A 24636-nucleotide genomic window follows, 5' to 3' on the forward strand; every position below is an offset into this window, starting at 1 on the left:
CTTTGAGATAGAACTTGAAGGATATGTAAAATTTCAACCAGCCAGAGATAGAAGAGTAAGAACATTTCAGAAGAATAAAGCAGTGTGAAGAGACAAGAAAAACCCAGGTAGTGTTAGAAAGAAAATAGGTGGTTTTGTCTGACTGTAGTGTGAGTTTATATATGAAGGATTAATGGGAACTAAGGATAAAAACATTGCTGCGATGTTATCATGTGCCTTGTGAAGGCTCTGTGTGTGTGTGTGTGTGTGTGTGTGTGCGTGTGTAAGCATTGGAAAACCTCCAAAAGTTTTTAGAACAAGAGTCATGATCAGAGGTGGGTTTTGAAAATCCAAATCTGACTATTAATGGCCTGATGATGATTTGGACTAAGGAGAAGCTGGAGGTAGGTAGTTCATAAGCTAAAATATTGGTCCAGGTAAGATGTTTTGGGGTATAAAAAGGAAAATATTTTGGGAAATGAAAAATAATTGATCAGTGTTTTATTTTCTGAGCTCTTTTTTACCCTGGGGGTTCCCACCAATTGAATAAATGTCATGCATTTCTACAGAAGGCAGACAGGGTATTGTCTAGGTACAACAAAGAAGTCATTGCTCAACTTTGAGTTTCAAATTATAAATATATTTTGGATACAACTTAAGGTTATCTGCATTTCAATGCTTTTCCTCTAAGAATGGATTTGGGCAGTCAGCAGCAGTAAACACTTTGGCTATACATGCTCATCAGATTTTCTAATAGAGTGTGTCTAGAGGACATACTTTAGGAAATGCAGCCCTGTGTATCTTCTAAGGAAGGCTGTGATATTTCTGTTGTTTCTCTATTCCAAATCTGACATTTTCTTTCAAATGAGGTTTGTACCGACTCACTCTCACCTTGTTATTCAGAAACAGAGCTTCTGAGAGCTCTTCTCCCCAGAGAGTGATAGATCAATGTGGGAGCTCACATTTGTTTGAATGTATGTCAGGTAATCACGGTACAGCCCCTGACTATTGACTGAGTAAAGAGAAAGTGAAAAATCCTGATATTTTCCATTAGAATCATAAATTCTAAAGGATATTTCTGCAATAAAATTAAAAATGTAGGGTTTTTTGTTTTAAAAAAAACTTGTAAATTCAGGTCATAAAAATGAATTGTGATTTGAGCGGCCATTATCCTTGAAAATCTTTATTTAGCATTGTTTTACTTTATTATTGTAATTTTCCCATGAGATGGCTAAAATTACTCTTAAAAGTTGCTCATTTCTGTGCTGCCAACTTCTCTAAATATGCATTGCTTAAATATTTTGATATATACTAATCCCACTGCTTTCATGTTTACATATATCCCAAAATGGAAACCTAAAAGATGACTAAGATTAGACCATAAGAAAACAGAGTGAAGTTAATAAAACATGAGATTTTGTATTCTCTCTGATTCCCAAGGCAAAGTTTAAAAGCTCAATTATCAGTCCATTGGCTTCCCTTTGATATGAGATAATTATAAGCAATATTTAACTAGTACTTGAATAATACTTTGTAACTTTTAAATACTTTCATAAGCATTGTCATAATTTATGGTATCCTTTTGCAGTAGCATTCATTTATTATCCCCTTTGTCACTGAGCCACGGTGAGATTAATTTACTTTTTCCTGATTACAATTAGCAACGTTGAGCTGGAGCATATTTTCTGCTCTCTGGGCTCGGTCTGGCTTTTTCTCCTAAAACTTTTATGTTGCGTCTCTCCATATCCCGTCTTACTGGCATCTCACCTCTTTCTCCATCAGCTGTCTCACCTCATAATTGCATTTGTTGGTCACAAATGGGCTGATCAGGTAGATGTCAATAAAGAGGAAACACCTCATAGTATACGTATTTTTTTATTTTTACAGTGAGTCAGAAGCATCATCTTCATGGATGGCATCCTGCTTGCTTATTTGTTTCATGAGTGAAAGCATCTCTTCAGCTTTTGTGCAAAATGAAAAGATCATTAGGGACACCAATTTAAATTAGAGTAGGCAGAGTAAATGTGTAAAAGACAAAAAAAAAATTAATCACCTGTGGCAACTGTCATTTGAAGTTATCCTCCCTTCATTCCACTCCAGCACATCCACATAAACACAAAGAGAGATCATATTGTTTACTGGTATCAAACTGCAGAATTTGGCTTGCCTAAGGCACTGCTCTAGCCCAGAATCCACACCACCACAAATATCAATTTGGAATGCAGCTTCAGTGCTAGTGGAAAAGCTGTCACAGGCAAGTCTAAAATACTGAGAGTGCTGAGCTCCTGACATTGCTAAAGATGATCATGAAGACATTTATCCAGTCTCTCCTGCCTCCCTTTCGCCCATCCCTTCAGAAGCTTATGTCAAGTGTGACAGGCTAGGTGATGAATGGGTAGAAAGTTGACAGATGACGACAGGCGGCTGAGTAGGTGAAATCCTCCTTCCTTAATTCTTGTGATTTTACCTTTCTGACACAATGAACTTATATTAGAATGTATGACTAAATAAACCACAGAAAGTAAAACCATTCACAAAGAAATAGAGTCGAGAACAGAAAGCCATGCTCTCATTTTCCTCAAGTTTCTTGATTGCTGGACTTTTGGAATACAATTCGTAATCAAGGGCATATTATTTAGAGTTAAGTGGGATGATTAGCTGTGTTGTTTTTCTCTGGAATATATATCCAGAGTACTTAGCTCAAAGTCATGAGTCAGAAAAATCCCATTTCTCATAAATCTCTTCTAGAGCAGACTAAAAAAGAAATCAGCTCATTGGAATTTTGATTAATGAGAAAAAGAGAAAGGTTTAAGGGTGAGTGCTTTCTTCTATTGATGTTCGTGAAATGGTGGTGACTGCCTGACACATCCTAGTCCAAAGCAATTGAAAATCATTTTAACTTTGCTTTGTTTTGAGAGGCTTAGGGGTTATTGAATTGAGAGAAATTGGACTGAAACAAGTAATTTTTTTGACACAGGCCACTAAACAGCTTGGAGACCATGAGTCTTAAGGCCCCAAGCAGGTCATTTAGTAGAGAATGGTGCCTTTCTCACGGGGTGCTTTCTTCTTACATAAATGTACGGAAGAACAAGGCATAGTGACATTCTGAATTTTCCTGTGTGTCTTTATATTTACAATTAGCAATTAATGGCAATGAAGTTTTTACCTATACCTTTACATCACCACTGACAATAACTATCCAATTGGGATCAATACAGACAGAGAAGATGATAAAGTTGTAACTCTTCTTTAAAGCAGGGAATTGTAATTCCTTACTCAAGTTCAAGTATATGAATTTCTACGCTGGAAAGTATTTTATATTCTTTTTCAGAGTGTAAGGGAATTATATTTCACAGGATTTTTATATTAAATAATACTAGGGTGGAGATTGGAAATAATTTCTTCTTTTCTCCTGCTTTTTAAACACAGGTTTATGGCCACAGACATATTTTTTTAATTTGCAAATTTCCATTTTGTTAAACTACATATTTCTATTAATAAAATTTAAATGCTCTAATAAAATTGATTTCTAAGTCTTTTCCTCTTTTTTCTGATATGATGATACTATAACTAAATCAGTGGCTGATTCTTCTTGCTTTAGAACATTTCATTTTTCTATGATTCTTGATAGGTTTATATTTTTAAAAATAATATTTATAAACTGTATATGTGAGGTTTCCTGTTTTGGGGCTCCTGTGATGCTCCTTCTTGAAAAGCATAATTTGAGATATCTTTAGTCCTTGTGGATTTATATCTCTTTAGAGTTAAAAGTATTAAAATCGGTAATTTGCTTTGTTTATCTTCTATGCTGTCTTCTTGGGCAAGCTATGTTTTCTAATACACACGTTCCAATAATTAATGACTATATTATAGTATTTTTTATGATGCTGAGACATATACACACATATATATGTGTGTGTGTCTATATAAATACACACATATATATGTGTGTGTCTATATATATACACATATGTATATATGTATACACACATGTGTGTATATATGTCTCAGCATCATAAAAAATACTATAATATAGTCATATATGTGTGTATATATATGTGTGTATATATACATATATATGTATTTATAAGCTAATTCATTTATATTCATTGGGGGTTTTGTTTCTACTTGATTGCTAAACCTGAAGAAATAGAATGTAAAGCATTACTTTTAGTTTATGCTTTCTTGAATCTTAAGGTAATTGCATGATTCTCTTTATTTTAGGTTCAAATCTTAAACTAAGGATATCATAATTAAGTTCTAGATCATAGTTTGGCCAAGAAAATTAATGACTCAAAATCTCAAGTTCCTCATCTAAAAAATGAGCTTAGTAATCATAATAATATCTTTAGAGTTTCTCTAAGTCTTATATAAGTTAATGCATATCAAATACATAAGAAATGTTGTTGTAAGTCCTCAATAAATAGCAGTCATTACTATTCTTCTATACTGTAGGGATGATTTACAGACTGACAAAAATATGAAATGTTTTCTCTCAGGTCAGTTAAAAAATGTATGGTGAGCCAATTTTGTTTCTGGCATTCTGCATGGCACTAGTGATATTAAGAAAAATAAAGTGTTATTTCTGATCTCAAGGAAATTTCAGAGTATAGAAGAGAGAGAATAAACATTATGATAAATAACTCAATGCGATGTATACATGATAAAAGTATGTAGCATAAGTAAACGGTACAGGAGAGGAACTGAGTCACCACTATTGGGGGAGAGGAGAGCTTGGAATAATATAAGAAAATCTCCTATGCAAGTTTGAGAAGAATGAACATATGTTTACCAGATATTAAGAAGCGAGATGGAAGAAAAATTCAGGTGAAGTAACATCATGTATAAAAAATATGTGCAAAGTCATATGACATATTATAAATATTTTATATGTAATTAAAACCTCAGCATATTATAGTAAAACTTAGTAGATGAACATATGTTGAAATATATGTAGTTAGATATTGCTGGAGTGGGAGTGTCAAAACATAACTATTTCCTATTTTTATGAAAAATGCATGTTGCATATATTTGAAGTATTAAGACAGGTTTTTCGTTGGCTTCTTATATATATTTGTTTACATTAGCCTTTTCAGAAGAAAGAAATACATGCCCACAGTAAATAAATGCAAACCTACACAGAAGAGTACGTAGTGTAAAATTAAGGTTACCTTTCACCATCTTTGCTCCATTCCAAAATAGTAATTTCTGTTAAAATTTTTTTTTTTTTTTTTTTTTTTTTTTTTTGAGACGGAGTCTCGCTCTGTCGCCCAGGCTGGAGTGCAGAGTGGCGCGATCTCGGCTCACTGCCAGCTCCGCCTCCCGGGTTCATTCCACTCTCCTGCCTCAGCCTCCGGAGTAGTTGGGACTACAGGCGCCCGCTACCACACCCGGCTAATTTTTTGTATTTTTAGTAGAGACGGGGTTTCAGCGTGTTAGCCAGGATGGTCTCGATCTCCTGACCTCGTGATCCGCCCGCCTGGGCCTCCCAAAGTACTGGAATTACAGGCATGAGCCACCGCGCCCGGCCTAAGAATTTCTTAGGAATAATTTTTCACTTCTAGAAGTGTTAAATGAATATGAATGTCTGTATCAGAATTTTCCCAGTGTAAGTTTGAGGCAAATCATTTTGTTTTGTTTGAGCACAATCGTAGTTTAAAAATTTTAAAACATTGTGATTGCATTTAGGTATGAAATGCATCGTGTAATTCACAACCGGGACTTCCAATTATTTTACTTAGGCCCAACAGACCTTGCCTGGTTTTGACGGGCCGCAGTTAAATTGCTGCCCTTGAGGCAAACTTGCAAGATAAGTATAAATATATTTTATGTAAATGATCATGTTACCCTTACTGTAATCCACCTTGCTGTTTTTCTTAATAATATGTAATGAACATTTTTTTGTATTAGTACATATGAATTTACATTATGCTTTTTAAATAAATACATAGTATCACATTTTAAGCATGTATCATAATTTATTTAGCCTGTCCTGGAATAATAAATAAAGTTTTCTTTTTCTCTATGATTATAACAATATTGGAAGGAAAATTCTGTACATATAAATTCCCTTATTTATTTGACTCAATTTGTAGATGAATGTATAGAAATAGATTAAGTTGGAAATTTGAGGTATTAACCATTTGTCTCTTCAATGTGTTTTAAGTAGTGTATGAGGAAACACTGAGACAAATGGAAGGGAAAATAAGTGATTTAAGAGTGATGGGAACTATCCTAAACCCTACAAATTCAAGGTTTCTCGGTGAAGCTAGAATGAAGTTCAAGGCTGAGACCTGCAGCCAAGCAGATATCGCCCGTTATTTACTACCTAGGCTTCAATAGCACTTGATAATAGGGTTTGGTCTTGCCAACTTTGACATTTATTCGGATCCGCCTGGGAGATCAGGAGCCCATCACAGGCACCCCCCACCTGCCCCAGGAGCTTCGGCAGGAGAATTGCTTGAACTGGGAGGCCGAGGTTGCAGTGAGCCGAGATCACACCATTGCACTCCAGCCTGGGCAACAAGAGCGAAACTTCGTCTCAAAAAAAAAAAAAAAAAAAAGAAAAAGAAAAGAAAACAGAAAACAGCAGCCTTGGACAAGCACAATGTAAGCCTACTGACAAAGCAAAGAGCAGGTAGTCCAGGGTGCTGGTGGGGTGTGCTTCTGATCCTAAGGCAACATATCTCTGTCACTGATACGGTTTTGCGTGCATCTTACTTTTGGAGTTATTATTATAATAATTGCCTTTAAAAAGTTTGTAGCGATTTAGGGTCAAATGAAAACTCTCAGCGATAGTTGGTATTGTTTAATTTTTAGCAATCTAATAAGCAGAATGAGACTTCTCTAATTGTTTAAAATTGCATCACTTTAAATATCAATGAAGTTTTGTTTTGTTTTGTTTTTTTCCCCGTAAGTTTACTGACTGTATATATTCTTCACCTCTAAACATTTCTTTTTTCTTTGAGATGGATCCTTGCTCTGTCACCCAGGCTAGAGTGCAATGGCGCAATCTTGACTCACTGCAACCTCCACCTACCGGGTTCAAGCGATTCTCCTGCCTCAGTGTCCCGAGTAGCTGGGATTACAGGTGCCCACCACCAAGCCTGGCTAATTTTTTTCTATTTTTAGTACAGACGGGGTTTCACTATGTTGGTCAGGCTGGTTTTGAACTCCTGACCTCAAGTGATCCGCCCACCTCGGCCTCTCAAAGTGCTGGGATTACAGGCGTGAGCCTCCGCGCCCAGCCACCTCTAAACTTTTATGTACATAATAAGTTGTCCCTTCCTAAGGGGTTAATAATAATATTTATCAAAACAAGTAAACCTATTATTGAGTGCTTGCTCCATTCTGGATTCTGAAGTAAATATTTTGCTTGAATTGATTCATCTAATCTACAAAAAAAACATGAGTTGTGTGCCATTTTTATCCCTATTCCTCTGGTGAGGAAACACGCCAGAGGAAAAGAAACTTGCTCCAGTTCACAGGTACACTGGAGTAGAGCTGAGGTCTGTATCTGAGCTGCCCTCTTTAGAATCTCCACCCTTACTGATTTCGATATTCATTCTCTCATGGCTTGTTTTTGTTTTTTTGTTTGTTTGTTTGTTTTTGATACGTGGTTTCACTCTGTCACCCAGGCTGGAGTGCAGTGGCTCGATCTCGGCTCACTGCAACCTCTGCCTCCCGGGTTCAAGCGGTTCTCCTGCCTCAGCCTCCTGAGGAGCTAGGACTACAGGCCTGTGCCACCACGCCTGGCTAATTTTGTATTTTTAATAGAGATGGGGGTTTACCATGTTGGTCAGGCTGGTCTCGAATTCCTGACCTTAGGTGATCCACCCACCTCGGCCTCCCAAAGTGCTGGGATTACAGGCGTGAGTCACTGCGCCGGCCTTTTTTTTTTTTTTTTTTTCCATTTTAATTCATTTTTTATTATTCTCTTTTAAAAGTGGAAATGTAGTCTTTATCATATGTGTTGTACAATGTTCCCCCCTTCTTTTATATTTGTTTTTTGACTTTTCAATTACATTTATTGTGATGCTGTTTATTTAAAACTTGTTCTAGAATCCAAGGCTAATCCTGGCTTACAAACATATGTGTCCAGGGATATCACATCAGCAAATGGGACACGCTATCAGTAGCCAGAGGACCCCATTTCCACCACAGTGAACTTTTTATTCAAAGGCACTTCACTGAGACTGGGTCGTTAGATTTTCTCTTCTGAAATTGTGAAATTTAAATTATCAAATTTGGAAACTGTTGCAGCTGAGTCATGTAAATGTACCCTGAACATTTTTAGGTTGTCCTCTTGCCTTCTTAGCTTTTCCTTCAATTAAATTATTTATCACCAATTATTATCTTGTTTTGGTTAGTCAAGTTTCTAATGTGTATAACACAAAGAATTTTAACAGATACATTAATTACATTTATAAATCAGGATTTTACTTTTTGTTCAAAGCGATACGTCCATTTACCTCTGGAGCAACTTTATCTGTTAGCTTGTTTTCACATTATCATGTTTTGCTTTATACATGTAATTCAGTCATCCAGCTCAAATGATATTTGCTCTAAGAAAATTTATATTGTTTTCTGGCTACTCAGTTTTTCTATTACTATAACAATTAATTCATATTTTCTCCATTGACTGGAATGCCATCTTTAGTAGACAGTAAGTTCCCATAAAATCTGGTGACTCTACTTTTTGAAATATCTTGATTTATACTCCTAACTAGGAATATATAAATGTGCTTACCTATATTATATAATTTTTAATAATGCAAATTTATTTTACAACTGGTAATGTCTGCCTTAATCATCTTCCCTTTTAGATTTTTTTTTTGTTTTTCTCACCTGTTTAGTTGTCCAGATGAAATGCTAGAATCACTTACAAAGAGAGTGACACATTTGTTAAAATTTTATGATAAATGCATTGAAGTTAAAAATAGTTTATTGACATCTTCAGAATATTGAGACTTTATATTCCAAAACAGGGTTATTCATATTTTGACCTTTTTAAGAAAATCTTTTATATGTTTCATTATTTTAAAAAACGTAGGTTCTGTTACTTTTATTGTTTTCAGTACATTCCACAGAAAACAGTGGAGTAAATATGCTTCTATCCAATTTTCAGCAGACGTGCAGCATCTGTATTTTACTGAGGCTAGTTCTTGCCTCTCTCATGGCTTTGTAAGTTTTAAACACTGGACTTAGCTTTATTTAGCTATTGTTAGTGTAATATGACTTCGATTTTCTTTTGTGACTGGTCTTTGTTTTTTCTTTTTACACTGCAGTGCTCTTAAACTTGCCATGATTTTCCTTGTGAAGATTTCTAAAGGTGTCACACAGAAAACCCTGTGGGCTGCCTTGTCATATTCAAATAGTTCATTTTATTTCTTTCTTCCACATTAATTTAGAATGGATATCTTTGTCATGTTTTTATATTGTATTTTCTAATCTGCTGATAACAACATTCCATAAAATATGCATGGCTATATTTAATATAAAAGTATTTGCCACTAATACTAAAGTGCTTTTTCTAAACTTTGGGTGAGAAGATTACTAATAAATCACTCCATATTTTCCCTTTTGGACTATAATATAATTTTACAATAAGTTCCATTTAATCGTCTTGTTCTTTCTTTACCATGACCTTGTGAGACGAGAGGTCCTTTCTTTGGTTACAAATGAGACTGTGATCTTAAGTTACTCTCCTGTGCTCATTGAGCAGAAATAAAAGTGAACCAAAGAACAATTGGGGTGTTATATACTTTTGGAGAAGAATTATCCATATAAGAAAAAGAGTATAAATGTGTTTTTACTTACAGGGGCAGACTAGAATTGCAGTGCACAGATACAAGAATGTTGCCTGCTTTGGAGCCAAGACTGCCTTCCGGATAAAGGGCCCACAGAGAGCTGAGAGCTGTGTAATACCTCAAAGACTGAAGAAAAGAGTTAGACAGCCATCTTTCCTTAGAGGATTTTGCTGCAGACAGCTTGAACTACCAGAAGGTTATATACTGACCATGGGTAGAGTAAGGAAGAAATACATCCTTCGGAAAGGACAATGAAGATCTTTACAGCAGGGTGAGTAAACAGGCCAGTGTAAGTCGCTAAGCAAGAATGCCACTTGCTAGGTGGTATACAGTTGCTCAGTGTATCACACACACACACACACACACAAACAAATATTAGTTACACCTCTGAGATGGGATTCATAAACATTTAAAAGTTTACACAATGTTTAGATAACACTGACCATCAAACCCTTAATAATTTGTTTTGCTTTGCAGTCCCACAGGTCTATGCCCATCTATTCATTTTAGCATCTGTTTTATGTTTCATAATTACCTTTTAAAATTTCTGTCTCCCCTTTGTGCTATGAGGTCGTTTCAGCACTTAGGTGAGAATCTGAAATTGTAAAGATAGTTCAATTACATTTTCGTTGTTAATATAGGCGGGGTAAAGTAAAAGTGCTGTATTAGCTCAGAGGAGCAAAAAACAGTATAATCAAATAGATCTGTAGATACCAGAATTTTAAAATTCTTCCTTCAGGAACTTTAATGCCATTTAAAAATATTTATTGTGGAATATGTTAGACTTTGAGTCATAGTGATTTTTACCTCCTAACATAAAGCTAATTTTTACTGGATTTCTTCTGATAATGATGGTTAAGTGTGCAAGAGATGGTATCAGTCTATTCAGCGTATTATTGAGAATCCCCTCACTCTCCTTAAATGAATGGCTTAAGCAGCAGATGTTCTATACCCTAAAAGATGCCATGGCACGTCTCAGGTAAGAGCTGTCCTTGGAGTTGAATGTTATTTATTACTATGTAGGTACTAGAGATTCAGAAACTTAATGATTTTTTTTCCTAACAGAAACTCTTTTTTCGCACTATGAATAATTTACTGTTCTTTCTTCTTTGAACTCAACTGTAGAATTGCGCATAGACTAATTTTTACTTTCACTCCTTTCCCAGGTGAAATTAAACAAAAAATATAGAAACTGATCACTGAACTAATGACTTTAGATGAGTATACTTTTATGTAAATTTTAAAAGATTTGGTAATTAAGAATGAGTTTCATTTCAACTTCATTGTTCATTTCCTCTTAATTGATACAACAATTTAATTCTAAACATGATAAAATCACACCTTCCTGTTGCTACACCTGCAAGCTTTTTAAAGTTTGTTCAGAGTTTAGATAGATTAGGAAATAAAGTGGAAAATAACCAGGCAAATATTATGTTTTATTAAAAAATTGCATTTCTGGCTGTGAAATACTGAACTTATTTATACATGAAAGAAGTTATATCAATATCAAATTGATATATTCAAATGTCTGATCCTGTCTTAAACAGGAAAACTACTTTGAAAGCAGCAATATTACCAACAATGAAGGGAAAAAATGTGTAGAATCATATTATTTTTAATTTATAAAATATCCTTGTTGCCAGTGGCAGAGACTTTTGATCATGAAAAGTAATATTGAATATATTATTCTACAAACATTGAATTTAAGTGTTTTTACAAGCATTTCCATTGTTTCTTAAATCACATATCACTGTAAGGAGGATATAGTATCTCCTTGTTAAAACTAAGGCAATGAAAACATCAGGAGTTAAAGTAATCAAGGAAACACAATTATCAAATAAATTGGTACTACAACCCCCCGATTTTTCTGCCCTCTCCATTGTACTATATATACTATAATCTCCATATTTGGAATATTAATTACACTTTGAAATCTTCAAGAAATATAAACAAACACCAATTCCACACTATGTAGGTATAATAAAAGTAAAATTTATTTACAAAGTAATAGATTTTCATTAAAATCTTTCAAAATTGTAGTATGAGAACCTACGTTAAACCACTGGTAGATGAATTGCAAAGAATGATAAAGTAGAAACAGTAACTGTCCTGTTAATAAATAACCTTTATAAGCTATTAAATATTGTTTTAATAGCTTAAATATAAAGATGATCTTTTTAAAAGCCTTGGACTTAAAAATAAATATTTACTTAGGAACTAGATAGAGCCAACAGTTTTGCCTAAAAGAACTAAGAAACAATAATCAAATATTCTATATTTGTCATTATTATTATTTTAGGAAAATACCTCCTCCTAAAAAATATCACTTCCATATATATTTATGGTAAACATGTGATATGATTTATTGAGTAATATTTATCTCAATTGGAAAATTTCTATGCAAAATATTTTTTCATTGTGTAACATTTTATTCCCTATAGGGGCATATCTCAGGGGAACCTGATGAAAGCCAACGCACAATGTAAGAACTTTCACTGTAAGGAAAATTTGAAGGCCTGGCATGGTGGTGGCTCCCACCTATGATCCCAGCACTTTGGGAAGTGGAGGTGGGCAGATCACTTGAGGCCAACAGTTTGAGACCAGCCTGGGGTTTTAGTAGAAACCCCGTCTCTACTAAAAATACAAAAATTAGCCAGGTGTGGTGATGCATGCCTGTAATCCCAGCTACTCAGGAGCCTGAGCCATGAGAATTGCTTGAACTGGGTAGGCAAATGTTGCAGTGAGCCGAGATCGTGCCATTGCACTCCAGCCTGGGCAACAGAGCCAGACTCTTTTTTTTTTTTTTAATTTTATTATTATTATACTTTAAGTTTTAGGGTACATGTGCACAACGTGCAGGTTTTTTTTACATATGTATACATGTGCCATGTTGGTGTGCTGCACCCATTAACTCGTCATTTAGCATTAGGTGTATCTCCTAATGCTATCGCTCCCCCCTCCCCCCACCCCACAGCAGTCCCTGGTGTGTGATGTTCCCCTTCCTGTGTCCACGTGTTGTCATTGTTCAGTTCCCACCTATGAGTGAGAACACACGGTGTGTGGTTTTTTGTCCTTGCAATACTTTGCTGAGAATGATGGTTTCCAGCTTCATCCATGTCCCTACAAAGGACACGAACTCATCGTTTTTTATGGCTGCATAGTATTCCATAGTGTATATGTGCCACATTTTCTTAATCCAGTCTATCATTGTTGGACATTTGGGTTGGTTCCAAGTCTTTGCTATTGTGAATAGTGCCGCAGTAAACATATGTGTGCACGAGTCTTTATAGCAGCATGATTTATAATCCTTTGGGTATATACCCAGTAATGGGATGGCTGGGTCAAATGGTATTTCTAGTTCCAGATCCCTGAGGAATTGCCACACTGACTTCCACAATGATTGAACTAGTTTACAGTCCCACCAACAGTGTCAAAGTGTTCCTATTTCTCCACATCCTCTCCAGCACCTGTTGTTTCCTGACTTTTTAATGATTGCCATTCTAACTGGTGTGAGATGGTTTCTCATTGTGGTTTTGATTTGCATTTCTCTGATGGCCAGTGATGATGAGCATTTTTTCATGTGTTTTTTGGCTGCATAAATGTCTTCTTTTGAGAAGTGTCTGTTCATACCCTTTGACCACTTTTTGATGGGGTTGTTTGTTTTTTTTCTTGTAGATTTGTTTGTGTTCATTGTAGATTCTGGATATTAGCCCTTTGTCAGATGAGTAGGTTTGCAAAAATTTTCTCCCATTCTGTAGGTTGCCTGTTGACTCTGATGGTAGTTTCTTTTGCTGTGCAGAAGCTCTTTAGTTTAGTTAGATCCCATTTGTCAATTTTGGCTTTTGTTGCCATTGCTTTTTGTGTTTTAGACATGAAGTCCTTGCCCATGCCTATGTCCTGAATGGTATTGCCTAGGTTTTCTTCTAGGGTTTTTATGGTTTTAGGTCTAACATGTAAGTCTTTAATCCATCTTGAATTAATTTTTGCCTAAGGTGTAAGGAAGACTCTTGTCTCAAAAAAAAAAAGAAAAAAGAAAAGAAAAAGAAAATTTGAAAGTATGAATTACTCTAAAATGTGATTGTAACTTTATGTTTATTTATTTGTGTATATGAAAAAATCTACTTCAGTGAGACTTGGTGGCATGCTTGGTGTGTCTCCTGGATAGCAAAATTATGGTAAAATATGGTAAAATGCTAATATTTGGGATATGTTTCTTTGACTGTCGATATTGTATTGATTTAATGGAACCTATTCATGATAGAAAGGAAAGAGAAAGACAAGATTCCTATGCTAACATCATCCTTCTACTTCAATTCATCTAATAAGTGTAAATAACAAGTAACAGAATTGCCTCCTTTAATTTATTTTGAATATTATTTTAATGAAAATATCCAGTGTCTAAATTTCAAATGATGCTTACATAAAACTATTAAAGAGAAATCAAATACATAAATAAATGAATAAATTAATAACTATAATTCAAAATTAAATCATCTACCAATAATCTAGTTTAATTTTTATTAACATCATTCTAAAATGTGCTTTATATACACATAGAGATTTTATAATAATGATAATTACACTATAATGCTATTTAATAAAATATTTAATTTAATTTTACTCAAATTAATAACAAAAAACATTCTGAAGTGAAGCTGAAGAGGATCAGAAATTCATACTATTGCTTTCCACCTCAAAAGACAATTTGTAAAAGGCCCTTTAATACTAAGAAAAAAGATTGATTTAGTTTCTTAATTGTTTTAATAGTAAGATTTTAATTACTTTGACATTTATTAAATATTATAAGAAATAGTTTGATTGCCACTGTTATCTTTTTTCTTCATCTTATTTTTTCATTCTGTTGCATAGATCATTACTGCTTTGCTAAAGTATGTAATATCAATTGTGTGTTCTGTAAACATAATTCCCCAGTGGTTTAGTTATCTCAATATTCAATATTTACAACAGATCATTTTATCATTGCTTCTTGCATATGATATCTTTATTTTTAATCGTTTTTAAATTTTGAGATAATGGTAGATTCACATGCTATTGTAGGAAATAATACAGAAAAATTCTGCACATTCTTTTCCCAATTTCTCTTAAATAGTAGTATCTTGACAACCTATATTACAATATCGCAGTCAGAATTTTGACATTGATAAAGTCAAGACACGTAACTTTTTCATTACCCAAATTGTCTCTCATGTTGCCTTTTTATAGCCATAATCATTTCTCTACCATGTCCATTCCCCGCTTAACATCAGAGGCCACTAATCTGTTACCTGTTTCTATAATTTTGTCATTTCAAGAATGCTATACAAAAATAAGCATACATATATAATTTTCAATTTTTTTTTGACGAAGTATAATTCTCTGGAGATGCATCCAAGTCATTGCGTATACCTATAGTTTATTTCTTTTTATGACTGAACAGTATTCCATGGCATGAATGTACCACAGTCTGTTTAACTTTTTTTCACTTGTTGAATCAACCTGAGTTATTCTCATTTTGGGATTATTATGAATAGAGTTGCTATAAACATATTTGTGTACAGGCTTTGTGTGAACATGTTTTCATTTCTCTGGGATAAATGACTAGGTGTGCAATTGCTGGGTCATAGGTAGTTGAATATGTGGTTTATTAAGATATTGCTAAACTGTGATGCAGTTTCTCTGAATCGTCACAGTCATTTGGTGTTATCATTATATTTCACTTGAGAAATTCTGGTGGGCATAAACTAATACATGGTTATATTTTTAATTTTTAATTTCCATTTTCCTAATGGATAATGGTGCTGAATATATTTTATGTAGTTTTTGCCATTTGTATGTCCTCTTCAATAAAATATTCATTCATTTGTGTTGACCAGTTTCTAGTTGGATTGCTTATTTTCTGCTGTTGAGTTTTAAGAGTTGTTTACATATTCTTTATCGTAGTCCCTTGTTGGATATATGCTTGCAGATATTTTCTACCCAGTACATAGATTGTCTTTTTAGCTCTTAAGAGTGCCTTTTTTCAGAGCAAAAGTGTTTAATAACATCCAATTTATTATTTTTCCTTTTATGATTTGTGCTTTTGGTATCAATATTCATTTGTCCATATATAGATCATAAAGATTTTCTCCTGTAATTGTTTTTTCTAAAAATGTGCTACTTTTACGTTTTACATTGAAGTTTTTGATTCATGTCGAGTTAACTTTTGCATAAGATATGAAGTTATTTTTTCTAAAAATATGCTACTTTTATGTTTTACATTGAAGTTTTTGATTCATTTTGAGTTAACTTTTGCATAAGACATGAGGTTTGGATTGAGGTTTATTTTATTTTATTTTGCTTATGGATGCCCAATTATTCTAACATAATTTGTTGACAAGCCTACCCTACCTCCATTGAATTGCTTTGTGATTTGTGTCAAAATTCAGTTGGATATATTTTTTGGGGTCTATTTCTGGGTTCTGTTTTATATTCCACTGATCTATGTGCCTATTATTCCACCAGAACTGATTACTGTAATTATCAATACACACAAGATCACACAGGTTTGATTACTGTACCTACATAATGAAACTTGAAACTAGATAGACAGATTCCTCTCATTTTATACGATTTGAAAATTGTTTTTAGAAAATCTAATTATTTTGGCTTTTTAAACATTTTTGAATAATCTTATTGGCAACTACAACAAAATATGGAAGTTTGTTAAATCCGTATGCCAATTTGGGGATAATTAACATTTTTTAAAATTTTATTTTGTTTTCCTAGGAACACTTACTGTGGGATATACCCTCTTAACAAAATTTTTAGTGTACAGTATCTTATTGTTAACTATAGGCACAGTATTGTACAGCAGACCTCTAGGAACTATTCATCTTGCTTAACTGAAAATTTCTGCCCCTTCATTTAGCAACTCCCTATTTCCCCCTTCCACAAGGCCTTGGCAACCTTCATTCCACTCTTTGGTTCTGTAAATTTGATTATTTTAGAAACCTCACTGATATGGTTTGGCTGTGTCCCCACCCAAATCTCACCTTGAATTGTAGCTCCCATAATTCTTACGTATCATGGGAGAGACCCAAGGGGAGGTAATTGAATCATGAGGGCATGCTTTCTTCTGTGCTGTTCTTGTGATCATGAATAAGTCTTACGAGATCTAATGGTTTTATAAAGGAAGAGTTCCCCTACACATGCTCTTCTGCCTGATGCCATGTAAAACATGACTTATTCCTCCTTTGCCTTCCACCATGATTGTGAGGCCTCCCCAGCCATGTGGAACTGGGAGTCCATTAAACCTCTTTTGCTTTATAAATTACCCAGTCTCAGGTATGTCTTTATTAGCAGCATGAGAACAGACTAATACACTAAGTGGAATCATGCAGCATATGTCCTTCTGTGACTGGCCTATTTCACTTACCATAATGTCCTCCAGGTTCAACGAGGTTATCAAGTATTGAGAATTTCCTCTTTTTTAAAGCTGGATATATTCTATTGTATATCTATGTATATATAATGTGCATATATATATTATATATAATATACACATATACATATATACATTATATTTATTATATATACATATACACATATACATTATATATGTGTGTGTATATATGTATATACCACCTCAATGTGCAGAAGCCTTTTAGTTTGATGTAGTCCCACACTATTTTTGCTTTTTATTACATTGTCTTCTAAGCCTGGAACCCAGCGGGCATCTCTTGATTTATTTACTTAGATATTCTTTCATTTTCTCATTAACATTTTGTAGCTTTTGGCATAGAAGTTATGTAGGTTTATGCCTGAATATTTCACTTAAAATTTTTATTCTTTATTTTTTTTTAGAGATGGAGTCTCAGTCTTTTGCCCTGGCTGGGGTACAATGCCATGATCACAGCTCACTGCAGTCTGGAGCCCCTGGGCTCAACGATCCTCCCATCCCAGCCTCCTTGAGTTGTTGGGATTACAGGCATGAGCCACTGCACCCAGCTTCACTTTTTTGGCTGTGGTAAATGATACTGTATTTCTAATTTTGGTGTCCACATGTTCATTGCTAGTATATTGAAACTTTTTTGTGCATTGATGCTGTATCCTGAGGCTTTGCTGAACTTAATTATTATTTCCAGTAATTCTCGTTTGTCTTTTTTAGATTTCTTGGGATTTTCTATGTGAACTGTCATGTCATCCTAAAATAGAGTTTATTTCTGTTTTTGAGGTTTTTGTGCCTTTAATTTTACTTTATTGCCTTTTTGCAAGATAGAACTAAATAGAACATCCGGTACTATGCTCAGTAGGGGTAATGAGAGCACATCCTTTGTTCCTTTCCAGTCTTAGGGAAAAAGCATTCAGTCTCTAATCATTAAATAATTCTTTTCTGTAGGCATTTTGAAGATGTTATTATTAAGTTGAAGAATAATTTTTAAAATATTCTTGATTTTCTAAACATTCTTATCATGAATAAGTAGTGAATTTTGTCAAATTCTTTTCCATGTCAATTGATTTATTCATTTTCCTGCTAATATAATAGATTATATTGATTTATTTTCTAATATTGAAATAGGTTTTAATTTCTGGAAGAAACCACATTTGATCATGGTATATATATATATATATATATATATATATTTTTTTTTGATTTCTGTTTCTGTTAGTGAAAATAAAGTTAATAACTTTTGTGTATGTATTCATGAAGGATATTAGTCTGTAGTTTGGTCTTTTTGCACTGCCTTTGTATAGTTTGGGCTCAGAGTTATATTTGCTTCATAAAATGAATTGGGAAATGATTCCTTTTCTATTTTCCAGAATAGATTCTGTAGAATTTGTTTTATTCTTCTTTAAATGTTCAAATGTCAAGCAGTTGGTACAATTATCTCCTGAAACCACCTGGACCTGGAAATTTCTTTTGGGGCATTTTAAAATTATGAATTCAATTTATTTAATAACTTATAAGGCTATTCACTTATTTTTTTCATATGGGTAAATTATAGCTTTTGCATTTTAAGGAACTGGTCCAATTCATCTAAGTTGTCAAATTTGTGCGTGTTGATGTGTTCATATATCCCTTATTATCCTTTTGATGCCTGAATATTGGGTAATGATGCTAGGTTTTTTATTTTTCATGTTGGTAATTGTGTCTTCTCTTTGTCAGTTTAGCTATGGATTTGTCAATTGTATTGATCTGTTCAAACAACAAGATTTTTAATTTGATTTTATCTATTTTTTGTTTTCAGTTTCATTTATTTCTGCTTTTATCTTTATTATTTCTTTCTGCTTGTTTTGCATTTATTTTGCTCTTCTTACTCTAGATTCTTGTGATGTAGGATTACATTATTGCTTTTCCTTCTTTCTGATATAAGTGTTTAGTGCCAAAAACTACCCCCCCTCAAAATTGTGTTAGCTGTTCAGACAATAATTTTATGCCCAGTTTTGATTTTTAGTCAGTTCAATATATTTTTAATTGCCCTTGAGATTTCATATTACCCAATGGGATTGTTTAGAAATATATTATTTAATATCCAAATCTGTAATATATTCCATTGTGATCAACGAACACTTCTGTATAATTTCAAATATTTTAAAATGTTTGAGGATTATTTTAAGCCCCAGAATATGGCCTGTCTTGGTATATGCTCTAGGGATGCTTGAAGAAAATATCTATTCTGCTGTTGGTGGTGAGTCTTCTATAAATGTTGATTAAATACTGCTGATTGATGGAGTGGTTCAGTTCTTCTTTAATCTAGATGAATTTATGTCCATCTATTTTATCAATCAGCAAAAAAGGGGCACTGAACTCTATAACTATTATTGAGGATTTGTTCATTTCTTTTTTGAGTCCTATCAGTTTTTTAAAATAGACTTTTCATTTTGCAACAATTTTAGATTTATAGCAAAATTGAGAAGATAATACAGATAGTTCCCATACACCCTGAACTCAGTTTCTCCTATTATTAACATCTTACTTTAGATTGGTGCATTTGTTATAATTCATGAACCAATAGTGATGCATTATTATGAATTAAATAAAGTCCATACTTTATTTAGATTTCCTGGTTTGTCATCCAGTGTTCTTTTGCTCGTACAGAATTCTATCCCATATAAAAATTACAGTTAGTCCTCATGTCTACTTAGAATGCTCTTACGTGTAAGAGTTTCTCAGACTTTTCCTATTTTTGATGACTTTGTGGGAGTTTTGAGGCATATTGGGATAGTATTTTGTAGGATTTCCCTAGATTGTGATTTATCCCATGTTTTTGTCATGGGTAGACTGGGGTTATTGGGTTTTGTGAGAAAAATCACAGAGGAAACATGCCATCCTCATCACATCAAATCATGAATGCATACTATAAAAATGGTTCAACACCTGGATGAGTTAGTGTCTGTTATGCTTTTTCATTGCAAAGTTACTCTTCTCTAATTCCATACTGCATTCATGGGAGGAAGTCATTATATGCAACCAATAATAGTGAGTGGGAAGTTATGAGCTATGCCTCAACCTTTGTGAGGGCAGAGCATCTGCACAAATTATTTGGGATCTTTCTGCATGACAGATTTATCTATTCTCCTCCATGTATTTATTTGTTCAATTATGTATATCAGTGGCATGCCTTGCATATTTGTCTTTCCCAAATCTCATGTTGAAATGTGATCCCGAGTGTTGGAGGTGGGGCCTTATGGGAGGTGTTTGTGCCATTGGGGTGGATACCTCCTGGCTTGGTGCTGTCCTCTTGATAGTGAATAATTTCTTGTGAGATTTGGTTGTTTAAAAGTGTGTGGCACTTCCCATCTGTTCCTCTATTGCTCCTACTCTTACCTGCCATGTGACATACCTGCTCCTGCTTCACCTTCTGTCCTGAGTAAAAGCTCCCTGCAGGCTCCCCAGATGCTGGACAGATGCCATCACCATGCTTGTACAGCCTGCAGAACCATGAGTCAATTAAACCTATTTTCATTATAAATTACCCAGCCTCAGGTATAATTGAGGTAACCTCATTATAGCAACATGAGAACTGCCTAATATAATCAGTATGGACTTACAGTTCTTTAATTTCTTCTTTGAGTTATAATCCAATACTACATTATTTCTGCCCAAATTGTTCTAGCTTTGGCAATTGGAACCTCCATGTCTCTTTGACATAGCCCCATCTTTTTGTGTGTGTGTGTGTGTATGTGTGTGTGTGTGTGTGTGTGTGTGTGTGTAAGACTTCCTGACTTCTAGATACTACGAGTTGCTCCATGTTGTATATTTATTGCCCTAGTCCAAGTGTCAGCCATTTATCTAAGGATCTCAGTTCTTTTAATTGGTGAATGTTATTAGTAACCAAGATTTGATCACGAGGCATGTTGACAGCTACTGGTGTTGCTTCTCTGCCCTCTCAGTTGACGGAGCAAGAAAATATGTGTGTGTATATTCACATGTACACACATAACTTAAATATTTCTGTTTGTCCTTATTTATACTGAGATAATCTACATTCCTAATGCTTTTTCCAATTCTAATCCAATACCACATGGATCCTTTTAGCCTTCTGCTTGCTTATCTGTAGCCTCCTACACCAACAGTGAGAAATCTGCTTCCAGTCATCTACAATCCATTTATTTATTTGTTCAATTCCATTAAATATATACTATAAGTGTTTGGTAAAACTTTACAGTGAATCACATTTTTTTTTTCTTTTGAAATGGAGTCTCATTCTGTCACCCAGGCTGGAGTGCAGTGGCGTGATCTCGGCCCACTGCAATTTCTGTCTCCCAGGTTCAAGTGATTCTCCTGCCTCAGCCTCCCTAGTAGCTGGAATTACAGGCATGTGCCACCACACCTGGATAATTTTTGTATTTTTGGTAGAGATGGGGTTTCACCATGTTGGCTAGGCTGTCTTGAACTCCTGACCTCAAGTGATCTACCCACCTCGACCTCCCAAAGTGCTGGTATTACAGGTGTGAGCCACCGTGCCCAGCAGCCCTGAGTGTAAGAATATTATGGACAGTGCAACCATAAAAGAATCGGCAGGTCCTTTCTATAAAACATAAAATATCTGAAATATTTGTATTAAAAATATTTTACCTATACAAACTTAATCTTGAAAAGTCTGAGCATCTTTTTGGGTCAACAACTCTTCCCATGCAGCTCTTAATAGTCTTGAGCTATTAAGTAATTGTGGTTTTTGCCATTAAAAGTTATGGCAAAAGCCACAGGTACTTTTGCACCAACATAATAATGAACAAAAATGAGCATACCAAACAAGTCGAATTATTTCTACCACTTTTATTTTTATAATGTAAAATAAAAAATGTTTGATTTTTTGCAGCTTTCTGGAATAGCTCAAAGAGGACTGTAGAGGTAAAATACATCATTAATTTTCATTTATTTATTTATTTATTTGTTGGTTCTGCTCTTGCAAAGGCAAAAGCAAAAGAATATCAGGAGATTTGACTGCAATAATGAAATATGCTCATGGACATCTAGGAAATGATGACTTAGTTACATATTCAATCAAAGTGACAAAGTATTTAAAAATAAACATAAATATGTTAATGCAAGTGAGAAACCTTGGTTTTTAATTTTTTATTTTAAAAATGTTATGTAATAATCAAGTACCTGATAAAGTCACCACAGAACAGAGAAAATTATTCTGGTGAGTTTTGGAATCTCTATGATACCAGCATGTTACACAGAGTATAAAGAATACTTTTCACTAGCCATTGTTAAGATTTATAAGACCAATTTACTATTTTAACAGGGAAAAGACAAAACCTAGATTTGGATGAACACAGTTTCTTGCAATAAATGTTTCATGAGTTTCTCTCTCCAATTTATAACATAATTATCTTGTGAATTAGCCCGTAATTGGAGCAATTTTTCCAAAATTTTAACATATTTCATAGCCTTTTTCAGACTTAAGTATTATAAATCAAGGAAAATGAGAAACTACTTTCCCCTAAATCCTCTACAACTTGCTAAAAGCATTCAAGTTTTGTCCTTCACTGTACTCATTCATATTCTAGATAATTAAGACTTCATTTTGGGTTAAAACTTCTTTTTTTTTCCTTGAAAAAAATTACCTTACATAAACATTTTTAGTATTTTTCCATTACTATTGCTTCATTCTAGAATAGCCTCAATCACTATTAATTGTAAATTTTAATAAAGTAACTTAACTTCTATTTCACAAAGTCTGGAGGGTACAATGCAAATTGTCCTTAAGCATTTTAAGCAGGTTAGAAAAGCTTAAGAATAGATATACAATGACTTTCACCAGCTTCATCCATCCTTTTTATAATTTATTAAAGTGGCAAAACTGCAAGTTTATTAATTTCTCCCAGTTATAGCTCTCTATGGCATGTAAAAGTAAGAAGCAAATATTTATAAACTTCCCACTTTGTCTGCTTTCATAAATACAGTAGTGTCTACTTATCCATAGTTTCAGTTACATGCAGTCAACCACAGTCCAAAAATATTAAGTGGAAAATTTCAGGAATTAACAATTTATAAGTTTTCAGTTTTGCATCATTCAGAGTTGCATGATGAAATCTCACGCCATCTTGCTCTATCCTGCCAGGATGTGAATCATCCCTTTGTCCAGAAAATCCACGTGATAGATATTGCCCACCTGTTAGTCATTTAGGAGCCCTCTTGGTTATCAAATAAAAAAAAACCACATAGTTATATTTAAGGTTTGGTACTATCTGCAGTTTCAGGAATCCACTGAGTGTCTTGGAATGTATCTCCGGTGGATAAGGGGGACTACTACAGTTTAATTGAATGCAATCACACTCATTCATTTTCACATTGTCTATGGATGTTTTGCACCACTATTGCAGAATTAAGTAATTGCATTGAAGACCTTATCACTCGCAAAGCTTTATATATTTACTATCTTGCCCTTTAGAGGAAATGTTTGCCAACTCTTCATTTAAGTATTCAAGGTTTTTACATTTGTTAATTCAATTAGCCAAGGATTTTATGTTGTTACTCATAAATCTTGGAAATTATGTTCAAAAGGGGATGCAGTCTGTTCTGCTCTAACACTTATTCAGGAAACATGGATTTGTTCCAACACATTTGATATAACAGGGAACAATTTGAGCATAACACAAATTTTGCCTTTGCTTATGTATAATTTCTTCTGCAAAAGATACTACCTGAATAAAGAAAAATACTGCACCTAGCTGAACAGAACTGCATACTAATGCAAAGAATACACACATACACACACATCTCAAACATCTACCAGCTACCTCAGTTCACTGTATGTGAGCTGTGAGCCACACATCCCCATCTGGTGTTACAACTTTCCAACACATTTCAGACAACCCTCCCTCTACCAATTCATAATAATCACAAGCTGAAATCTTTTTGATGCCCACTTCCTCAAGCAAAGTTCTGGCCTTTTTCAAGGAAAAAAGTGGCAATTTATTACAATATTTATGCATTTCTTCATAATTTATGATGTGGAAAATAGTGCTGTCCTTTTAAAAGGGTCTTTATTTGTGTGTATATGTATGTGAGATGGACAAAGTTTTAAAGTTTTGTATCCCTAACTCCATTTTTCTCATCAGTCTCTATCTTTTTATAATCTCTTTTTCTCTATTTCTTCTAATTTTTGACAGAATATTTATAGTTGGACAAGTGTTTCACCAAAGAATGTATCTGAAAGGTGTATAAGGACACTCAACATCATTAGTCATCTAGAAAATACAAATAAAAATCACAAGGAAATGTGATTATAAAAACATTTTAAAGGTAAAACTTAAAAAGACCAGAAATGCAAAGTGAGGGCAAGATATGGAGTCACCATAATGCTCATTAATTGAAAAGGAGTATAAAATGATTAAACATTATGGGAATACTGTT

At 34.0% G+C, this 24636-nt stretch overlaps 3 long non-coding RNA genes across 8 annotated transcripts in view; 1 reads left to right on the forward strand and 2 right to left on the reverse strand.

The window, feature by feature from the left end:
* LOC105378027 (uncharacterized) overlaps nucleotides 1-24636 on the forward strand; it is a 246946-nt gene that overhangs the window by 61807 nt on the left and 160503 nt on the right. For all 5 annotated transcript variants that reach the window (XR_001744387.3, XR_001744385.2, XR_007059791.1 and 2 more), the window contains one exon: nucleotides 9801-10059. This is a non-coding gene — a long non-coding RNA (uncharacterized LOC105378027). The remainder of the gene's footprint in view (nucleotides 1-9800; nucleotides 10060-24636) is intronic.
* On the reverse strand, nucleotides 1839-2097 carry LOC124901414 (uncharacterized). The gene is made up of 2 exons (XR_007059793.1): nucleotides 2033-2097; nucleotides 1839-1940 (listed from the first exon to the last, which is right to left on the reverse strand). It is a non-coding gene; the product is annotated as an uncharacterized LOC124901414 (long non-coding RNA).
* Nucleotides 7973-24636, reverse strand: part of LOC105378026 (uncharacterized) — a 55690-nt gene continuing 39026 nt past the window's right edge. For both annotated transcript variants that reach the window (XR_943070.3, XR_001744389.2), the window contains one exon: nucleotides 7973-10383. This is a non-coding gene — a long non-coding RNA (uncharacterized LOC105378026). The remainder of the gene's footprint in view (nucleotides 10384-24636) is intronic.

Source organism: Homo sapiens, chromosome 6, assembly GCF_000001405.40.
Source record: "Homo sapiens chromosome 6, GRCh38.p14 Primary Assembly".
In the NCBI taxonomy this organism is placed as follows: domain Eukaryota; kingdom Metazoa; phylum Chordata; class Mammalia; order Primates; family Hominidae; genus Homo; species Homo sapiens.